At 54.9% G+C, this 20,249-nt stretch overlaps 1 protein-coding gene across 2 annotated transcripts in view; it reads right to left on the bottom strand.

Moving 5' to 3' along the window:
• The window catches only part of CFAP99 (cilia and flagella associated protein 99), a 44,048-nt gene that overhangs the window by 3,321 nt on the left and 20,478 nt on the right, over positions 1 to 20,249 (bottom strand). For both annotated transcript variants that reach the window (NM_001193282.4, XM_047415685.1), the window contains exons 5-13: positions 16,440 to 16,552; positions 14,374 to 14,551; positions 9,932 to 10,012; positions 9,677 to 9,748; positions 8,664 to 8,735; positions 8,330 to 8,418; positions 7,336 to 7,540; positions 818 to 959; positions 424 to 575 (exon numbers count right to left, since the gene is read on the bottom strand). In NM_001193282.4, coding sequence (NP_001180211.2) covers positions 424 to 575; positions 818 to 959; positions 7,336 to 7,540; positions 8,330 to 8,418; positions 8,664 to 8,735; positions 9,677 to 9,748; positions 9,932 to 10,012; positions 14,374 to 14,551; positions 16,440 to 16,552 — 1,104 coding nt within the window. The remainder of the gene's footprint in view (positions 1 to 423; positions 576 to 817; positions 960 to 7,335; positions 7,541 to 8,329; positions 8,419 to 8,663; positions 8,736 to 9,676; positions 9,749 to 9,931; positions 10,013 to 14,373; positions 14,552 to 16,439; positions 16,553 to 20,249) is intronic.

The raw sequence follows: 20,249 nt of genomic DNA, 5'->3' as shown, positions 1-20,249 counted from the left end.
AGGCCTGGCCCCTCATCATGCCTTCTCACACGGGCTTCCGGCAGGCCCTCCTCAACCTCCTGCTCCATGCAGCCTCCATCCAGCCTTTGAAAACACCTGCGCTCTCCCTACACTGCCCTTTCCACCCTGGCCCTCCCTCAACAGGCAGCTCCTAAGTGGCCTCCTCTGTGAAGCCCACCTTGGCCACCCCCAGGAGTTATAGAGGACTGGCTAAGTGTGTGCCTTGCCCGCAGGCTTGTGAACTCTTAGGGCCAGACCCAGGCCCGCGGCACATGGGTGTTGAGTCACGGAGGGTGGCGGGCCAGGTTTCAGGTGGTGCAAGACCCACCTGTGGCTCTGGTGGGAACCCTGGAAACTGCCTCTCATGGCAGTGCCAGCGTGGAGGCCCCTGAGGCATGGGCCCGTCCAGGACTGCATCCTCACCTGGGTCAGGTCCACGAGCTTGCCCTTGCGCGTGGGCTGTGTCTCGAGTGCGCGCAGCTGGGAGATGAGTTCACAACGGCGCCGCTGCTCCTCCTGGGCTGCCTGCGCCCTGCGCTGCAGCAGCCCCCTGCTCTCCTCGATCGCCTCCTGAACTTGGGGGCCAAGCCAGGAGCTGAGGTGGCTGGTGGGTGGCAGGGCAGGGGCTGGACAGGAAGGCACCTCCCCCAGGGTTCCCCAGCCAGGACTCTGGCCTCAGTGCGGCCACCTGGGAGTGCCTCCCTCAAGGGGTCCCTGACCCTGGACAGCCATAGTGGCTCACTCAGGAAAGGGTGGCAGCCCAGCACCCGAGTGGGGAAGAGCGGGGTAGGGCCAGTGACATCTGGCTCCTGACTACCTGTCTGCTGTCGGCCCTTCGCGAGCTTCGTCTGGGCCGCCTTGGCGTTCTTCTGCCCCTCTATCACCTGCTCCACCAGCTCCTTCCTGGACCTGTCCTCCCGGAGCCGTCTCTCTGCACGCTGCAGCATCAGCTTGGCCATCTGCCCAGACAGCGGACCTGCCACGGTGAGTGGGGCTGCTCCGGCTTCCCTGCCTGGTCCCGCCCCAGCCCAGGGCGCAGCATGAGGTCTGAAGGTGGACCCAGTCCCTGCCCTTGAATCACCCCAGAACCCAGGTCTAAGCCCATTCACTCCTGGCGGTGCTCTGGAAGTTGGGCCTGCGGGGAACTTCCACCTCATGTCCTCTCCCTTCCTCCCAGTGTGGTCTTGGGGGGAACCTTCCTGCATCTGAAGCCACCCAGTTTGTGGTACTTTGCTGTAGTAGCCCTAGAGACCCAGTGCACCCAGTAGCAACGTAGGCTGTTCACAGTGGAGGGAACCAGGGTAGGGGGCCCGGGGTAGGGGGGACGTGGAATACCCTGTTCTATATTTACGGCTTTTCTGTAAATTTAAAAATTGTTCTGAAATTAAAAAATTACTTTAAAAGTTTCTTTAAAAACTTGGTAATACGTTGTGTAGAAATATGAGGTGAAGAAAGTGGGCACCAAAAAATACCAAGATTCCCGTCTCAGTCAACCAGACAATGAGCAAAGAGAGAAAAGAGGCGTCCACACCGGCCCTCCCCGCGCAGCCACAGCGTCAGACCATGGCACAGGGAGACGGCTGGGCGCCTCAGGCCGGGAGTGCAGAAGAGGGCGGCGGTGCCTCCTGGCTCTTTGGGAACGTGGAATCAGGGAGGCAGCAGCAGTCCACAGAAAAGGCTCCCGCTTGGGAGTAAGACACACAGGATGCTAAGTTCTGCCTCTGCCACCCTGGCAGCTCCCTGGCAGCGGACAAGTCTCGGGCCTCTCTGGGTTTCAGTTTCTTTGTGGGGAAATGAAGATGGCCACGCCCACCTCCTCAGGTGCACTGGGTGCAGGGCCAACACCTAGCAAGGGCTCAGGAAAGAGTGTCCCCATCAGCCACAGCACCAGCCTCGGCACGGAATAGGGAGTCGGCACAGAGGAATGAGCAGGGGAAGAAGGAAAAGAGGGCCACAGGCCGGGAGCAGTGGACAGGGATAGGTGTTTGGCAAGCGATGAGTGTGTGGTCACCTGGCCAGGCTCACAGTAAGGAGAGGGTTTCCAGGCAGTAAGCAGCAGAGAGATCAGCCTGAGGGCCTGAGTCCAGGGTCACATGCCTGGCTGGCTCCACTCAGACATCAACCTTGGACCCACGGTCCTGCCTGCCGTCACTCAGGGGCCAGGGGCAGCCACATGCATCCTTGGGCCCTGCTGTGGACATCCCACCAGGTTTCCCACACATCCCCTCCTCCTTCCTGCCACAGAGCATGGCTCGCACTGGCTGCTCGCTGAGCTCGCACCAAGTCCGAACTTTCAGTTACCTGCACTGGCACCTTCAAAATTAAAATGAAGGTAGAACACATGGAACAGCATTTCTGTGGCCAGAATCAAGTGGAAAAAAGATGCAAGTGCTGCTTGATGAAACAATCTGCCTGAAGACTTTGGTAAAATGTACTCAGGGCCAGCTGCAGCGGCTCACGCTTGTAATCCCAGCGCGTGGGGAAGCTGAGGGGGGAGGATTGCTTGAGCTCAGGAGTTTGAGACCAACATAGTGAGACCCCGTCTCTACAGAAAATACAAAACTAGCCAGGCCCGGTGGCTCCTGCCTGTGGTCCCAGCTACTCAGGAGGCTGAGGTGGGAGGATCATTTGAGTCCAGGAGTTTGAGGTTGCAGGGAGCCATGATTGTGCCACTGCATTCCAGCCTGGGAGACAGAGCAAGACCCGATCTCAAAAAAAAAAAAAAAAAAAAGTATTCAAAGAATGATTACCCATGACATCCAAAACATGAAATGTCATTCCTCACCCAGGAGTTGAGTGTTGACACTAGTACAGCTATTCTGGGTTAATTTCACAGTGATAACAGATTAAAAAACAAGTTATTGGCCGGGCGCGGTGGCTCATGCCTGTAATCCCAGCACTTTGGGAGGCCGAGGCAGGCAGATCACCTGAGATCGGGAGTTCGAGACCAGCCTGACCAACATGGAGAAACTCCATCTCTACTAAAAACACAAAATTAGCCAGGCATGATGGTGCATGCCTGTAATCCCAGCTACTCAGGAGGCTGAGGCAGTAGAATAGCTTGACCCCAGGAGGCAGAGGTTGTGGTGAGCCGAGATCGCACCATTGCACTCCAGCCTAGGCAACAAGAGTGAAACTCCGTCTCAAAAACAAACAAACATTTTTTTTGTAGACGCGGGGTCTCACTATGTTGTTCAAGCTGGTCTCGAACTCCTGGGTTCAAGTGATCTAGCTGCCTTGGCCTCCCAAAGTGCCGTGACTACAGGTGTGAGCCACCGCATCCAGCCATAATTTTAAAATATATCCTTTCCAGCCCCATTGCTAGAGTACTTTAAAACTGGTGACTGTAGGCCAGGCATGGTGGCTTATGCCTATAATTCCAGCACTTTGGGAGGTCGAGGCAGGTGGATCACATAAGGCTGGGAGTTTGAGACCAGCCTGGCCAACATGGCAAAACCGCATCTCCCAAAAAAATAAAATAAAACAAAACAAAAAAAACCTGGTAACTGTTGAAAAAAACAGAAAAGCACCCAGATAGGGAACTCAATACTGGCTTCTATGAGGCACAGAGGTTCCTTGGAGAATAACTGAGTCTGTGTCTTAAGCAGAGAACATTCAGGTAGACCCCAAACATCTCTCCTCTCAATGGAAAAGATGCTTCCAAAGGCTCTTGAGCAGTGCCCAAAGTTCAGAGGAGGAGATGAAAGGGTGCCCATGCGTCGGGTTGTGGTACTAGGACCTCAAGCAGAAACAAAAGTTATAGTTCATTAAAACACATTGAGGCTGTAAAAGCAATCACTCCAATATGAACTGCATAAGAAAAACTAAAATTCTTTTTACTTCAAATATTTAGTGCCACCTAATCTAGTTAATTTAGTAAGAAAAAATATTAGTCACATGAATGCATGTAGCTAGACATCCTTAGACCAGTAGAGAAGACTGAGAATCCCTGTGTAACCTGGTGTGAGGAGAGCGGCATTTTCTTTTTTTTATTTGAGACGGTCTCACTCTGTCACCCAAGCTGGAATGCAATAGCATGATGTTGGCTCACTGCAACCTCCACCTCCTGGGTTCAAGCGATTCTCATGCCTCAGCCTCCTGAGTTGGTGGGATTACGTGGGTGTGCCACCACACCCAGCTAATTTTTGTTTGTTTGTTTGTTTGTTTTTTTAGTAGACATGGGGTTTCACCATGTTGGCCAGGCTGGTCTTGAATGCCTGACCTCAGGTGATCGCCCTGCTTTGGCCTCCCAAAGTGCTGAGATTACAGGCGTGAGCCACCACACCCAGCCAAGAGTGGCATTTTCTAACTCCAAACACAACACAAGAAAAGACTGTTAAATTTGAAGACATAAAAAGAATATTTGCATGGCAAACACCCATCATAAACCTCATATACAAAGTCAAATGACAAACTGGAAAAAAAGCAATCTGCAACAATCTATTATAAAGGATTATTTTTCCTAACATATAAAGAACATTAGGCTGGGCGCAGAGGCGCATTTCCGTAATCCCAGTATTTTGGGAGACTGAGGCAGGTGAATCACTTGAGCCCCGGAGTTAGAGACCAGCCTGGGCAACATGGCGAAACTGTGTCTCTCCTAAAAAGGTGGTGCACGCCTGCAGTTTCACCTGCTTGGGAGGCTGAGATGGGAGGATGGTTTGAGCCTGAGAGGCAGAGGTTGCAGTGAGCCAAGATCATGCCACTGCGCTCCAGCCTGGGCGACAGAGTGAGACCCTGTCTCAAAAAAGAAAAACTGTGGCCGGGCATGGTGGCTCACACCTGTAATCCCAGCACTTTGGGAGGCTGAAGTGGGCAGATCACTTGAGGTCAGGAGTTTGAGACCAGCCTGGCCAACATGGTGAAACCTTGTCTCTACTAAAAATACAAAAATTATCCAGACATGGTGGTGTGCATCTGTGGTCCCGGCTACGCAGGAGGCTGAGGCAGGATAACCGCCTGACCCTGGGAGGCAGAGGTTGCACTGAGCTGAGATCAACCCACTGCACTCCAGCCTGGGTGACAGAGTGAGACTCTGTCTCAAAAACAAAAACAAAAACAAAACAAAAACCAAAAAAAAAAAAAAACAAAAAAAAAAAAGAAAAAAAACAACAAAAAAAGAAAAATTGCTAAGAGAGTAGATTGTAAGTGTTCTTACCAGGAATAAGTATGTGAGATAATGCATATGTTAATTAGCTTGATTTAGCCATTCCACAATGTATTTGTATTCCAAAAGATCATGTTAGGCCGGGCGTGGTGGCTTCCACCTGTAATCCCAGCACTTTGGGAGGCTGAGACAGGTGGATCACTTGAGGTCAGGAGTTTGAGACCAGCCTGGCCAACACAGTGAAAACCCATCTCTACTAAAAATACAAAAAGTAGGCCGGGCACGGTGGCTCATGCCTGTAATCCCAGCAATTTGGGAGGCCGAGGTGGGTGGATCACGAGGCCAGGAGTTCAAGACCAGCTTGACCAAGATGGTGAAACCTCATCTCTACTACAAATACAAAAAAAGAAATAGCTGGGCATTGTGGCATGCGCCTATAATACCAGCTATTCAGGAGGCTGAGGCAGAGAATTTCTTAAACCCAGGAGGTGGAGGTTGCAGTGAGCCATGATCATGCCACTGCACTCCAGCCCGGGCGACAGAGCAAGACTCTGTCTCAAAAAGAAAAAAAAACCAAAAACCAAAAAACAAAAATTAGCCATGCATGGTGGTGCTCGCCTGTAGTCCCAGCTACTCAGGAGACTGAGGCAGGAGAATCACTTGAACCCGGGAGGCGGAAGTTGCAGTGAGCTGAGATCACACCACCGCACTCCAGCCTGGGCGACAGAGCAAGCTTCCATCTTAAAAAAAAAAAAAAATCATGTTATATATCACAAATATATTCAATTGCATTTGTCAAGTTAAATAAATAAAGAACCAAAAAAAAAAAAAAAGTCAGGGAAATGAAGGTCAAAAGTGCAATAGAAAATGGACAAAAGACATGGACAGACGGTTCACAGAAATAGACACAAATCATTTATATATGTATATGTGGACATTTGCTCAAATTCACTGATAAATAAATGAGATGCAAATCAGAACTATACCAAGATACTATTTCTGACCCATGAAATTGGCACAAATTCACGAATTCAGCCTGGTACACTCTGTGGCGGGGCATGCGGATCAGACCCCTCTCACACTTTGGTGGAGTGAAGATGGTAAAAGTACCAGGGAGACGATTGGCCATATTTAGTAAAACCACGCGTCCCAAACGGCAAGGACTCCTGCGTATCCAGTTACTCTTTGGTGTGACATCTGGAAATATAACTTCCTCTAGAAGTTTACCCTGAAAATCCAGCTCTGCAAAGGTGAAAGTCTTGCACATTATTCTTTGCAGATAAAGCAAGGTGTGACCTTTTATGTAACAAAAAAGGGAAGGACAAACTATGTATATACAAGTGTGTTATTTGCTTCGAAAGACGGGAAAGGTAATCCAGAAATTAATGAAAGGAAGGACCAACAAAGGAAGGTGGAAATGGGTTGTAAGTTATAGACTTACAAGAGGTGAGACTTCTCTGAGTCTACCTTTTCATATTGTTTAGACTTCATTTTTGTTTGTTTGTTTTGTTTTTGAGACAGTTACGCTCTGTCGCCCAGGATGGAGTGCAGTGGCATGATCACGGCTCACTGCAACCTTGACCTTCCAGGCTCACGTGATCCTCCTACCTCAGCCTCCCGAGTAGGTGGCACTACGGGCACGCACCACCATGCCCGGCTAATTTTTGTATTTTTTACAGAGACGGGATTTTGCTATGTTGCTCAGGCTGATCTTGAACTCCTAGGCTCAAGTGATCTTCTGGCCTTGGCCTCCTAAAGTGCTGGGATTATAGGTGTGAGCCACCATGCCTGGCCTGGCCTTCATATTTTTTTAAAAAAGTAAAAAGGAAAGAAAAGGCAAACCTTAAAATTGAATACAGACACAGATGAAACTATCAAAAGAAGCAATCTGAGTGACCTTTGATCAAGTCCCTGACCGCAGGCCTGCAAAGGGATACGTCCCAGGAGAGAGTATACAGGCCGGCCTCCTGGGGCTGAGGCTCCCCGCTGGTCCAGGCCACTGTGAGGCCCACTGGAAGGAGCAGGCACTCTCGGGGAACACAGGCTGAGCGTGCCCACCTAGGCAGTGTGTCCTTCGAGGAGGAAGAGGAGCCAGGACCAACACATCAGTAGCTTCTACGGGGGCGCTGTGGACACTCAGCTCCACTGCCAGCCCTGGCCCTGCAGCTCCCGGTGGGCACACAGTTCAGCTGGCTGCCCCATGCCCAGCTGCCCTGCATGGCACCCACCTGCTCCTTCTGCTGCTCCACCCTCTGCTTGTTCTCCTGCATGAGGCTCTGCCGGGCTAGGACGGCCTCCTCATGGCTAAGCTTCCCTTGCAACCGCCGGCACTCGCTTGCAGCCAGCTGCTCCTCCCGGTCCTTCGCCTGCATCTTCTTCTGCCACTCGAAGAACTCAGAGAAGTCCCCAGCCCCATCCACGAGCTTATCAACCCTGGGCAAAGAGGGACAGAAGCACAGCTTGGGGTTTCTCCCGTGACAGAGGCTGCTGGGTGGTCACAGGTTTTCCTGAGGGACAGTGGCTGCGCAGGCGTGGGCTGCTACTCCTGACACCCAGCTGCGTGGCCTGCCCTTCCTCCTATCCCCGACCCACTGTCCACCCATCCCCTGGTCCCCCTTTCTGTGCGTCCACCCATCAGCCCCATCCACCCACCCCTCCCTTCATCCACTTGTTTGTCTACCCTCACTCTGTCCAACTGTCTGTCCATCCACCAACCCTGTGTCCATCATCTGTCCATCCATCAACCTTCTGTCCTCTGCTAGCCTGGCCACCCTTGCCCCTGTGCACCATCTGTGCGTCCACTCCACCATCTGGTCAGACACCCATGCTCCCCCCACAGCCTGACTTGCAGACAAGGAAAGACACGACCACACCGCATGGGGTAAGCACAGGGGTTTGCAGCCCTGGTGGTCTAGGAGATGGGGGCATCAGGAAGGGGTCCAGGGAGGAGGTAACCCCAAGGGAGGTTTGGTGTGGGTTGGGCCTTTGCTAAGTCCCTCCAGCCCCATTCATGCCCCTCACTGAGCCGGCATGATCTTTGTAAGATGCACCTGGGACCCTGACACAGTCCTGCTTGTCGCCCCTGTTGCTGCAGGACCACAGCCTGTTGTGACCCCCGAGTCCCTCTCCACTGAGCTGCCCAGCCCCCAGGCCCCTCCTCTGAGCCTTTCCTCTCAAGGGTGATGCCGTGGAAGGCAGGTGGGGGGGCCTGCCGCCCTTCACCTCTGCAGCTCCTGCTCCACCTGCCGCTGGTACAAGGCCCCTTCTCGCAGGATGGCTGTGGTGTTCAGCTTGACCAGGATGTTGTCAGGCTGCGGGATTGGGGACTGGCTGTGGTGGGGGCTTGAGGAGACCCTTGGGAGCAGCAAATGCCCATCCTGCCCTCATGCCCGTCACACCTGCCCCCTGCCCAGGTGCTTCCCTATCCCCCAGGGTGGGGCCGTCCTTGGGACTCTAGGTCCCCCAGCTCAGGTCATCTGAGCCTCTACGGGCAGAAAAGGTCTGGAGGGGTGGGTGCCCAGGGAGAGCAGCCTGACCATCCAGGAGCACCCCTCACCCTATAGAAGGTCAGCTTCGGAGTCTTTCGGATTCGGGGTGGGAACTGAAGCCGCAGCTGCTGCTTGGAGCCCTGCAGGAGTCAGGGCAGAGCTGGCCGCCTGGCACCTGTGCCTGCTGGGTGCCCCCAAACACATACCAGGTGGATGCTGGCCCAGCACCCTGGGGAGGCCTGGCTCACCCCTCTTCATCCTCCCCCCAGCTGCCCATCCCTACCACCACGCCAGGTCAGGGTCTCTATCTTCCAATGCCCCCCAAGCCTTGCTGTGGTTCCACCCAGGCTGGAACAGGGAGGGTGCAGGGCCTGTGGGCCTGGGAACAGTGCTTCCCAGTCAGGACAACTTGGCCTCAGGGCTCAGTGGCCCTCTCCTCAGCCACCCCCAGAGCTGGGGTCTGGCTGGCCCCCATGGCCTCTCCCCGAGCCTGTCTGCTCCCGGCCCAGCCGCCAGCTGCTTTGCCAACACATCCCAGGGTGGGCACCGCAAGCTGCAGTGAGGGGAGTGGCTGCAAAGGCCACCCCTCTGAGCACTCGGTCATTGCAGCCCCGCGGCATGCACCATATGGGCTGCCCAGCCCGGGCCTGCCCTCATGGTGGGACCCTTGCCACCCAGCGGGGCCGTGCTCCTGAGTGAGCCCCGCCAGGCACAGTCTCTCCTGTCGTCATTACCTTGCTTTTTCTTTATTGGCAAACATACCTGGGTTTGTTTTTTCCTTACAGAGACATGAAATGCTTGTCACGGAACATCTGGAGATACCCAGAGGCAGCACCTGCAGGTGCTTTCCCGTGAGCTTCCTCCTGGGGGATGTGGGTGCGCGTCTACACCCGCCTGCTTAGGGGCCACATCGCAGTGGGCTCAAGGCACACTTTCCCAGTGCTACTGGGAATCCGCCCCTCCCCGGCCCTCAGTGGGAAAAGGCTACATAAGTGGTCACTGCGATGGCGTTGGGAGGAACTTTCTGATGGCTTGAGAAGATGGCACCTCGATGATGGGTCTTGAGAGAGCTGGGCGGTACCTGCACTCGCTCCCTGCAGGACCTGGGCATGGCGCAGCGCAGTTCCTCGATGTTTGCCCTCAGCAGCAGCTCCTGCCACAGTGACACAGCGGCTCCAGTCCCACCAGCCTCTGCCCAGTGTCCTCCAGGCCATGGGAGGACGAACTTCCACCCAGCCTCCCCCTCTTGCCTCCTCTTCCCTCTCCCCACCCCACCTTCCCTTCACACATCCCTCATATGGGGTCTCTAGGAAGGCAGGGGTCGCACACAGCTCACCTCGGCCTTTCGGCGGTTGTACCTCTTGACTGTCTCCAGCTGCTGCTGCTCCTTGGGTGGCTGGTAGGTGCTCTGGGGGACCTGCTGAAGTGGTGGGAGGAAGAGCCTATGGTCAGCAGCTGCGAGTGGGAGGGGGCCTAGAAATGCCAGGGCTGACAGCTTGGTGGATGTGGGTGAAGGGGAGGGTGGTGGCGGCCTGCATTGGAGGAGAAACAGGGCTGGAGCTAACACCACCGGGTGCTGGTGGGTCAGCGTTGGCAGTAAAGGGAAGGAGGTCAGGCTGGTCATTGGCGTGGGGTCTGGAGCTTGGCCTGGGATGGGGTGGGTGGGGTAAGACATGAGCCGGCAGTACTGAGGGCGTACCATCGGCCAGCATGGGATGGCCAGGGTGGGTAGGAGCAAGAGGGGGAGGCAGCCAGCTCCCTTGACACTGGGAGACAGGCGGAAGATGGCTGCCTGGGCAGGAGAGGCTGGGAGAATATCACGGACCCCTGCAAAGTAAGCTGTCGGGAGGGGACACTGCAGAGGCCAGGGCGGCTGCACCATATCCCCGAGTCCAGTCACAGGAGGCTCCGATAATATGGCCGGAGCTGTGTCCATGAAGGAGCAGGAGGGGGCCGGCCTAGATATCCCTGAGCTCCAGACTGCTGTATTACCCTCCTAACTCCATGCCTTCTCCCCTGCACATCTAACAGTCATGGAAAATCAACTCGTCCAAACCTCAAACCCTCATCTTCCTCAAACGAGCCCTCCCTCAGCCTCACTGACCACGACCGCTGTCCATTCCTCACCCATGCCTCAGAGTCCTCCTTGTCACCTCTGTCTCTCACACCCACATCCATCTCCTGCCCACCTGCTTCAAGCCATCTCCAGGAACTGCCTCTCACTGCCCTCCTTGGCCACGGCAGCTGGAGGGACCCTGTGTTGGCGCCAGCCTGCCTCAATGTGTCCTGTCTCTGCTCCCTCCAGTGGATGTGTGACCAGACCGGTACCCCGCCTTCCCTCTTCCCTGCCTCACTCCACTCCAGCCCCTCCTGGCCACCCTCAAACACTTGAGGGAGGGTGGGCACTGCCCCAGGGCCTTTGCCTGCACCTTGCTCCTGCCCAGGATGCTGTTCTCTGAGACACCCCATGGCCGACTTGCTCACTTCTGGTTTTTTACTCCATGGCATTTCTCGGGAGGCCTTTCTAGGCCACACAATCCAGAATCACAACCGCTCCAACACGTCTTATCTCCTTTGTCTGAGATAATGAATGAGTGAATTACAGTGGGCCCTCAACCCTGAAGCAGAAGGATGTCTTAGGCATGGGGCAGGGCAGGGAGGGTAGAGGATAGTTTCAGCACAGCCACCCTGTGGATGCAGAGAAGGTACATGTCCACAAACATCTCACAGATTGTACTGAGAGGCACACAGCTATAGAGCATGGGAGGACATGGTGAGGGCCCAGGCAGGGGCTGTGCTTGGCAGAGACAGAGAGAGAGATGAAGTTGGCAGCATGACCTGAGACAAACACACTGAGCCCTGAGGAGATGGGGTCAGAAATGCTGAAGATTATACAGATGGGGCAACTGTGGGGTTGCTCAGCAACAAGGTCTCTGATCATCCATCCATCAGCCACCTCCATCTAATCATCCATCCATCTGATCATCCACCCACTCACCCACCCATCCATCCATTTGTCTATCCATCTATCCATCCCTCTGATCATCCATCCATCCATCCATCCATTCATCCACTTATCCATCCATCTACTTATCCTTCCATGAAGCCATCCATCCATCCATCCATCCATCCATCCATCCATCCATCCATCCATCCACCCATCCATTCATTCACCCACTCATTCATCTACTCACCCATGTCATCATCCATCTATCTATCCATAATCTAATCATCCATCCATCCATCCATCCATCCACCCACCCACCCATCCATCCATTAATTCACCTACCCACTCATCTTTTCATCCATCTAATCACCCATTCATCCATTTGATCATCTATCCATCCATCTGATCATCCATTCACTCACCCACCCACCCATCCAACAATTTAATCATCCATCCAATCATCCAATCCGTCCATCCATCCATCCATCCATCCACCCACCCATCCATTCATTCACCCACTCATTCATCTACTCACCCATGTGTTCATCCATTCATCCATCCATAAACTCATCTCATCATCCATCCACCCATCTGTTCATCCATCTATCCATCTATCCATTAATCCATCCATCTACCCACCCATCCATTCATTCACTTACCCATCCCTCTACTCATCCATTCATCCATTTGATCATCTATCCATCCAACTGATCACCCATTCACTCACCCACCCACCATCCTACCATTTGATCATCTATCCAATCATCCAATCATCCATCCATCCACCCATCCACCCATCCACTTATCCTTCCATGCATGTATCCATCCATCCATTCATTCACTTATCCTTCCATGTGTCCATCCATCCATCCATCCATCCAGTCATCCATCTATCCATCCACTTATCCTTCCATGCCTCCATCTATCTACCAACTCATTCATTCATTCACTCACCCATCCATCTACTCACCCATCTGCTCATCCATCTACCCATCTGATCATCTATCCATCCATCCATTCACCATCTATCATCCATCCATCCATCCACCCACCCATCCTTCCGACTATCCATCTATCCATCAACTTATCCTTCCATGAGTCCAACCATCCATCCATCTACCCATCCATCCATTCATTCGCCCACCCATCCATCTACTCATTCATCCATCCACCTGATCATCTCTTCATCCATTTGACATCCATCCACCCACTTACCCACATACCCATCCATTCATTTGATCATTCATCCACCCATTCATTCCTCCATCCAATCATCCATCTATCCATTCACCAATCCAATCATCCATCCATCCATCCATCCATTCATCCACCCATCCATCTACCATCCATCTGATAATCCATCCACCCATCCATCCATCCAACTGGTATTTACTGAGGTTCTGCTTTGAGCCATGACTAGGCTAGGCATTGAGAATATGGGACCAATAATGGCCAGGTGTGGTGGCTTACGCCTGTAATCCCAGCACTTTGGGAGGCCTAGGTGGGCAGATCACCTGAGGTCAGTTAGGGACCAGCCCGGCCAACATGACAAAACCCTACCTCTACTAAAAATATAAAAATTAGCCGGGTGTGGTGGCCGGTACCTGTAATCCCAGCTACTCGGGGGGCTGAGGCAGGAGAATCACTTAAACCTAGGAGGCAGAGGTTGCAGTGAGCCAAGATCGTGCCACTGCACTCCAGCCTGGGTGACAGAGCGAGACTCTGTCTCAAATAATAATAATAATAATAATAATAATAATAATAATAATAACAACAATAATAAAATGAAATAAAAAGAGAATATGGGACAAATAAGATGGATGATGTCTGCTGGAATAGGCAGACAATAGGCAGGCCCACAAATTACTAAACAACTCTAAACTCCAATTCGGTGAAGAAAAGGAGCCAGGATCAGTGAGAAGTAAACTAAGTGAAGGACCTGACATATTTGAGGGGTTCATGAAAAGCCTCTCTGGGAAGAGGGATTTTAATGAGACCTGAAGGATGGTGGGAGTGGGGCAGGATTCTGGGGCCTCCCAGCACCATCCCCTTCCCCTCCCATATAGCCCTTAGTCCTGTTGCAGAACCACGTTGGTTCTGGGAAGCTCAGTCCATTGCTGGTGCTTGGGATAGAACCCGTAACCAGTCAGGACATTATATTCCTGATCACAGTGATCAATTCAAGGCAGGCATGAGACCTAAGCTGGTCCAGTCAGACTTTTCCAAAGAATACTTGGCCCCAGGTGTCCTCTCATGCACCTATACGAGAAGCAGAGCTGGAACCCTGGTCACGTATGCCTGAAGCCTATCCTACTTCACTCATGAGGGTCAGCCTGTGCTCTATTTTCTAAGCCAGTTTGAACTGCATTTTTCTGTTATTTGCAATACAAAGCATCCTGACTGATAAGTCAGCAGTGGGAAGAGAAAGAAAGAGAGGAAGAGTCTCTAGGCCTGCCCAAAGAGTATGCTGTCATCTACACATCATACTTAACGGGGAGGGGGTGTTGCATTACGCCAGAGTTAAAAGTGGGCTCCAAGCTCCAACTCCCGACAGGTCGGAGCCCCATGGCCTGACAGCTCCACTCAACACCTACTTATAGGACCACAGTGGGTAGAGTGTGGGAACCCACTGGGTGGGCTCCGGGTCAGCTGGGTTTCCCTCTCTGTGGGGAGTGGGGGTGGGGTGGGGTCATTTAGTGTTCCTGGTCTGGTCCAGTGCACCCTCAGCCCTGGGGGGAGCCCAGTCCCCCACAGGCCCACACAGTCCACTCTCCCAGCTTGGCTACCCTGATGCCTGCAAGCCAGTGCCTGCTGAGAATGCCCACACTCACGGGTCTCGGCTTGGCCACGACCGGGACTGGTTCGGGCGCTGGAATGGTGCGGGGCCTGGGGGCAGTCAGGTTGAATTCCTTGGGCTCTGTGACCTTGGCCTTGGTCTTTAAAGGAGAGGATTGACTGGCAGACACGCCCTCCAGGTGGTTGATCAGCTCCTGGACCTCTGGCTGCCATCTTGAAGGCAAAAGTGGAAACACCTCTTATGGTCACTCCCTAAGCTGTTCAATAAGGCGATGGCCTTTAGGATCCAGAGGGCTCCCGCAGCGATTGGGTCCACCTTGGGGTGGAGGTGATAGTGGGATGGACGGCCTCACTTCACGAAGTGGCTTCTACTTGTAGGCATACACGCTGTCAACTAAACCCCTGAAACATATACAGACGCAGTCCCCTTGTACAGATACAGGAAATAGGCCCAGAGGCATTGGGCCATGCTGGTGAGTGGGGAGCTGGGAGGACAGGGACAGCCCTGCTGCAGGAATCCAGGGGCTCTGAGGACAAGCAGTAGCCAGGATGCAGGAAGCCAATCTGGGCTGGAGCAGATGGAAGCCAGCAGTGGAGAAAGGAGCTTTTTGGAAAGGAACATTCTGGAACTATACTGTTGGTGACTCCTGGAAATGGAGCTGTGGAGTCAGGTGGGGCAGGAGCCCAGTTGTCCTTGGTACAGCCTCTGGGTGGGGGTGCTGTCGAGCAGGGGTTTGGGAAGGGCCTTGCCAGGCCGCCCGAGTGTGGGGCTCCCCCTTCCATGTCCCACACCCAGCATGGGCACAGCCCACCATCATCAGCCTATCAAGTATCCTCTTGTGTGGGCTCCCAGGGGGCAGAGGGCATGGCTTCAAATAGCTCCTCCCTCACCTTAAGAGCCATGGTCCAGGGCCCATAGCAAGTGGAGTCTTGGGGTCTCGCCAGGGCCAGGCCCCAGTGCTCCCAACTTGAGGCAGGTTGGGGAGAGGGGCTGGTCCTAGAGTAGGCAGAGGAAGCCTGAATGGGGGTGGTGGCGCAGGAAGAGGGGCTCACGGGAACTGAGCTGAGTAGCTTCCCAGAGGCAACCCTGCAGGCCCAGGCCATGGGGGCCCCTGAGTGGGCAGTGAGTCTAGCCTGGGGCACAAGGTAGGGGCACCAGCAGGGCCACTCCTACTCCTTCCTTTGGAGGTTTATCTTGATTGCCAGGAGTGGACTGGGTGGGACTGGGGACTTCCCCTTGGTAAAGGAACATCTCCAGGGCCTCCTCTCCCCACAGGAACGGCTTCCATCTCCCCTGGGCCTCCAGGTCTTCTGCACACAGCTGGCACCTAAGTGGTCTGCTTGGGCCAAAACAGCCTGTCTGTCTGTCCTTAGGAAGAAAAAGTGGATCCCTTCAAGTCCTATCAGAAGGGAAAAAACTGGGGGGCCCCTCAGCTGCACTCAGGCCCCAGCAGGCCTCTCCATGGAGCACAAGGCAGGGCCCTAGCAACTGTGCTGACCCCTCTGCCTGGGGGTTCTGGCCTGCCCCGGAGTTTGCCCCAGGCCTGCTGGGGAGGCAGGAGAAGGCAGCAAGGGCAGCATGAGGGCAGCAGGCTTGGGGACCCCGAGAGATATCTAGACCCCAGAATCCACCAGGAACTGATCTGTGGCTTCCTCAGCTCCCTCCACCCTCACCCCTACTCCGCACTCTTGGGATCTGCAGAGAGGCCAAAGGCCCTGCAGAGTCCCCACAGGACTAGAACCACTGACGCAGCCCCAGCCAGCATGTAGGCTCCAGCACAGAAGGGCCGGCTCTGCCCCATTCACTCAGCCAGTCCTGAAATGGCCTTCAGCCACCCGCCACGTGTCAGCTGACTGGCATGGAGGGAGCCCAGGCTGGGGCTTGGGCAGTTGGACCACGTCTTTTCCTCCCCGCGAGGCTGTGGGGCCAGCCTGGGACTTGGGGCTTCTCCGAAGATCTCATCCGAACACGGAGTGATTACTGACACTCATAGAGCTTCTGGGAGCAGGAAGGGGAACGTGGAGCTCCCGTGCCCGTGGAGGCACCTGGAATGGGGTGCAGATGCCATTCAGGGCCCCCAGAGCCCCCCATCCAGCCTACCTCATCAGGGGGTCGATCCAGTTCTCCTTCACGTGGGCTGGCTCGTAGATGAGGCTCCACTCATCCTTGATCCATGAGCACAGGTGCAGGGGGTTGAAGAAGAACCTGAGGAACTGGGGTGGACGGGGGCTGTCAGGGGGCCGGAGCCCTGGGCCCAACCCCTCACCGGGCAAAGTCCCCAGCACCCCCAGTGAGCTCCCTGCCCCCAAGGCCCCCAGCACCCCCAGTGGCTCCCCCCAAGGCCCCCAGCACCCCAGTGAGCTCCCTGCCCCCAAGGCCCCCAGCACCCCCAGTGGCTCCCCCCAAGGCCCCCAGCACCCCAGTGAGCTCCCTGCCCCCAAGGCCCCCAGCACCCCCAGTGAGCTCCCTGCCCCCAAGGCCACCGCGCAGGGTGTGCTTCTGGGACTGTCACCACGGAACTCTGATGCTGGTGCTGGAGGCCTGGACCTTGGCTCCCCTTCCAGCTGGGAGGAGCAGCCCCCGGGGTCCCTGGGTGGGCTGCCGTGGGGAGGGGGTGCCTGAGAAGCTGGCGGCACATCCTCAGCTTGGAGGGCCTTGTCCAGTCAACTTCCCGAAAGCCAGTTGGATGGGGAGCCGAGGGTCCGGGGCTCCATGGTGACGGCCCCAGAAGCACATCCTGAATGGTGGTCTTGGGGGCAGGGAGTTGACTTGGGAGGTGGCCGAGGAGGCACGGGCTGAGCGGGGGTAATGGTGGGCAGGATGGCGGCTTCTGTGTGCCGGCCAGGCAGGGCCTGCAGTCACTGCTGTGCCTCCCCAGGGTGGCCACCCTCCCCAGCAGCCTCCCCTCGGGCCTCCACGCCCTTCTCTTCTCCATGCAGAGGAAACCAGGGATCCCTCTAGAGCCTTCCGCAGCTGCTTCCACCCCCTTTCCCACCCCTTCCCATTTCAGCTGCACGCTGTTACTGCTTCCTCCCTCAAGGGGGCCATTTTCCCTGCCCCGAGGCTGGGGTCTCTACTTACCTTCCTTCTGGCCACCCCCATTTGGGAGCAGACCTTTTGTGCTTTCCTGAGTCCCCTGGGACAGACTCAGCACTGGTCCCTGCCCCCACCCAATCCCTCCATCTCCAAACCCCATCCCCACACTCAGCGTCTCAGCTGGGGTGCTCCCACCAGGACACAGCCCTGTATTGAGGCCCCCATCCTCACTGGGGTGTGGTGGGACAGCCCTACCCGGAACCTGCTGGAGTTGGGGTGGGGCTTTGCGGTGGGTCTGACTCCCCCTCTGCCAGCGGGCAGATTCCCTGGAGCTGTGGGGCCATCAGCCCCCTACAGGTGTCTCAGGGCCACTCCCTGCAGAGTGAGGAGCGCCACCTCCTGGGAGCCACACCATGTCACCGCCCACCACTCCTGACCATGGTGGTACCAGCACCCAAGGTGTGGCCCAGGGGCTTCCCTGGAGAGGCCACAAGGTGGCGTCCCAGTAGCTTGCTCCCCTTCTTCAAGGCCCAGGCTGGCCTCTTCCTGGAGCCCCGAGGCAGGAAGAAGGACCCCAATGGGATAGGCATGGCCCAGCGGGGCATGGGGTGTGGGATGGAGGGAGGCAGTCTCCTGGGCAGTTCCCTTGGGGATTTACGTGGGCAATTCACATGGATCTGCCTCCAGAGGCTCTCTGAGTTGGTAAGTGTGCAGGCACCAGTGTTGGGGGCACCACCCTGTCCCCAACGGTGCTGTGTGGCCAGCGCCCCAAATTCCTAGGGAGTCCCTGCAGCAGCCCCTGAGCACTCTGTCCTGGGCTGGCGCTTTGGGGCTCTGCAGGCCGAGATTGATCCAGGGCCACCTCCACCACTGTGGGACCCAGGGCAAGACAAAACATGGATCTTTGTTCAACAATTTTTTTTTTTTTTTTTTTGAGATGGAGTCTCGCTCTGTCGCCCAGGCTGGAGTGCAATGGCGCCATCTCAGCTCACTGCAACCTCCGCCTCCCAGGTTCAAGTGATTCTCCTGCCTCAGCCTCCTGAGTAGCTGGGATTATAGGCGCGTGCCACCATGACCGGCTAATTTTTTTCTATTTTTAATAGAGACGGGGTTTCACCGTGTTGGTCAGGCTGGTCTCAAACTCCTGACCTCAAGGGATACACCCACTTCGGCCTCCCAAACTGCTGGATTATTGTGCCCGGCCTCAACAATTATTATTATTATTATATTATTATTATTATTATCATTTAGGAAGGGGTCTTGCTCTGTCACCCAGGCTGGAGTGCAGTGGCACAATCATGGCTCACTGCAGCCTCAAACTCCTGGGCTCAAGTGATCCTCCTGCTTCAACTTCGTGAGTGGCTGGAATTACAGGTAAGCACCACCATGCCAGGCTAATTTAAAAAAAATTTTGGCCGGGCGCGGTGGCTGACGCCTGTAATCCCAGCACTTTGGGAGTCTGAGACGGGTGGATCACAAGGTCAGGAGATCGAGACCATCCTGGCTAACATGGTGAAACCCTGTCTCTACTAAAAATACAAAAAAAATTAGCCAGGTGTGGTGGCGGGCGCCTGTAGTCCCAGCTACTCGGGAGGCTGAGGCAGGAGAATGGCATGAACCTGGGAGGCAGAGCTTGCAGTGAGCGGAGATCACGCCACTGCACTCCAGCCTGGGGGACAGAGTGAGACTCCACCTCAAAAGAAAAAAAATATTTTTTTGTAGAGATGGGGTTTTGCTCTGTCGCCCAGGCTGGTCTTGATCTCCTGGGCTCAAGCAAACTTCCAGCTTTGGCCTCCCAAAGTTTTGGGATTACAGGCGTGAGGCACCATGCCCCGCCTGTTCAGCAATTATTAAGAATGTCGGCCGGGCGCGGTGGCTCACGCCTGTAATCCCAGCACTTTGGGAGGCCGAGGCGGGCGGATCACGAGGTCAGGAGATCGAGACCATCCCGGCTAAAACGGTGAAACCCCGTCTCTACTAAAAATACAAAAAATTAGCCGGGCGTAGTGGCGGGCGCCTGTAGTCCCAGCTACTTGGGAGGCTGAGGCAGGAGAATGGCGTGAACCCGGGAGGCGGAGCTTGCAGTGAGCCGAGATCCTGCCACTGCACTCCAGCCTGGGCGACAGAGCGAGACTCCGTCTCAAAAAAAAAAAAAAAGAATGTCAAGCTGGGCGCAGTGGCTCACGCCTGTAATCCCAACACTTTGGGAGGCCGAGGCAGGCGGATCACCTGAGGTCAGGAGTTCGAGACCAGCCTGGCCAACATGGTGAAACCCTGTCTCTACTAAAATACAAAAATTAGCCAGGCGTGATGGCACATGCCGTAATCCCAGCTACTTGGGAGGCTGAGGCAGGAGAATCACTTGAACCCAGGAGGCAGAGGTTGCAGTGAGCCGAGATTGCACCACTGCACTCCAGCCTGGGCGACAGAGCGAGACCCCGTCTTAAAAAAAAAAAAAATGTCAAGATAGTAATAGAAGAGCAGACACCAGTGACTTCTTGTTTCCAGGGTTTGGTTTCTGGTTTCTGGGGTTTGGTTTCTGGTTTCCAGGGAAGCTGGCCCCAACTCAGTCTCCAGGTATCTGCCAGAAAATGCCATCAGTTTTGCTGCTTTTTCATTAAAATGAAGGCCTTGCTTAAGGTAACTATACAAATGTGTATGCCTCATGAATCACTTACGTTTCTGTGAAGATGGAAAATGTGTCATTGATGTGTACAGTGCTGGCTCGGGGCTGCACTCTCCCTCCCTTCACCTGTTAGGTGGCTGAGGTGCTGTGTGAGCCGCCGGTCCCAGGTCTATGGGGCTGCAATCCTGGTGGGCTCTGCCACTCCAGGTCTCCCACTTCTCCAGGCTTGGAACACCCCCTGAAGAGCT

Source organism: Homo sapiens, chromosome 4, assembly GCF_000001405.40.
Source record: "Homo sapiens chromosome 4, GRCh38.p14 Primary Assembly".
NCBI lineage: Eukaryota > Metazoa > Chordata > Mammalia > Primates > Hominidae > Homo > Homo sapiens.
This window is presented reverse-complemented; position numbering and strand designations above follow the sequence as displayed.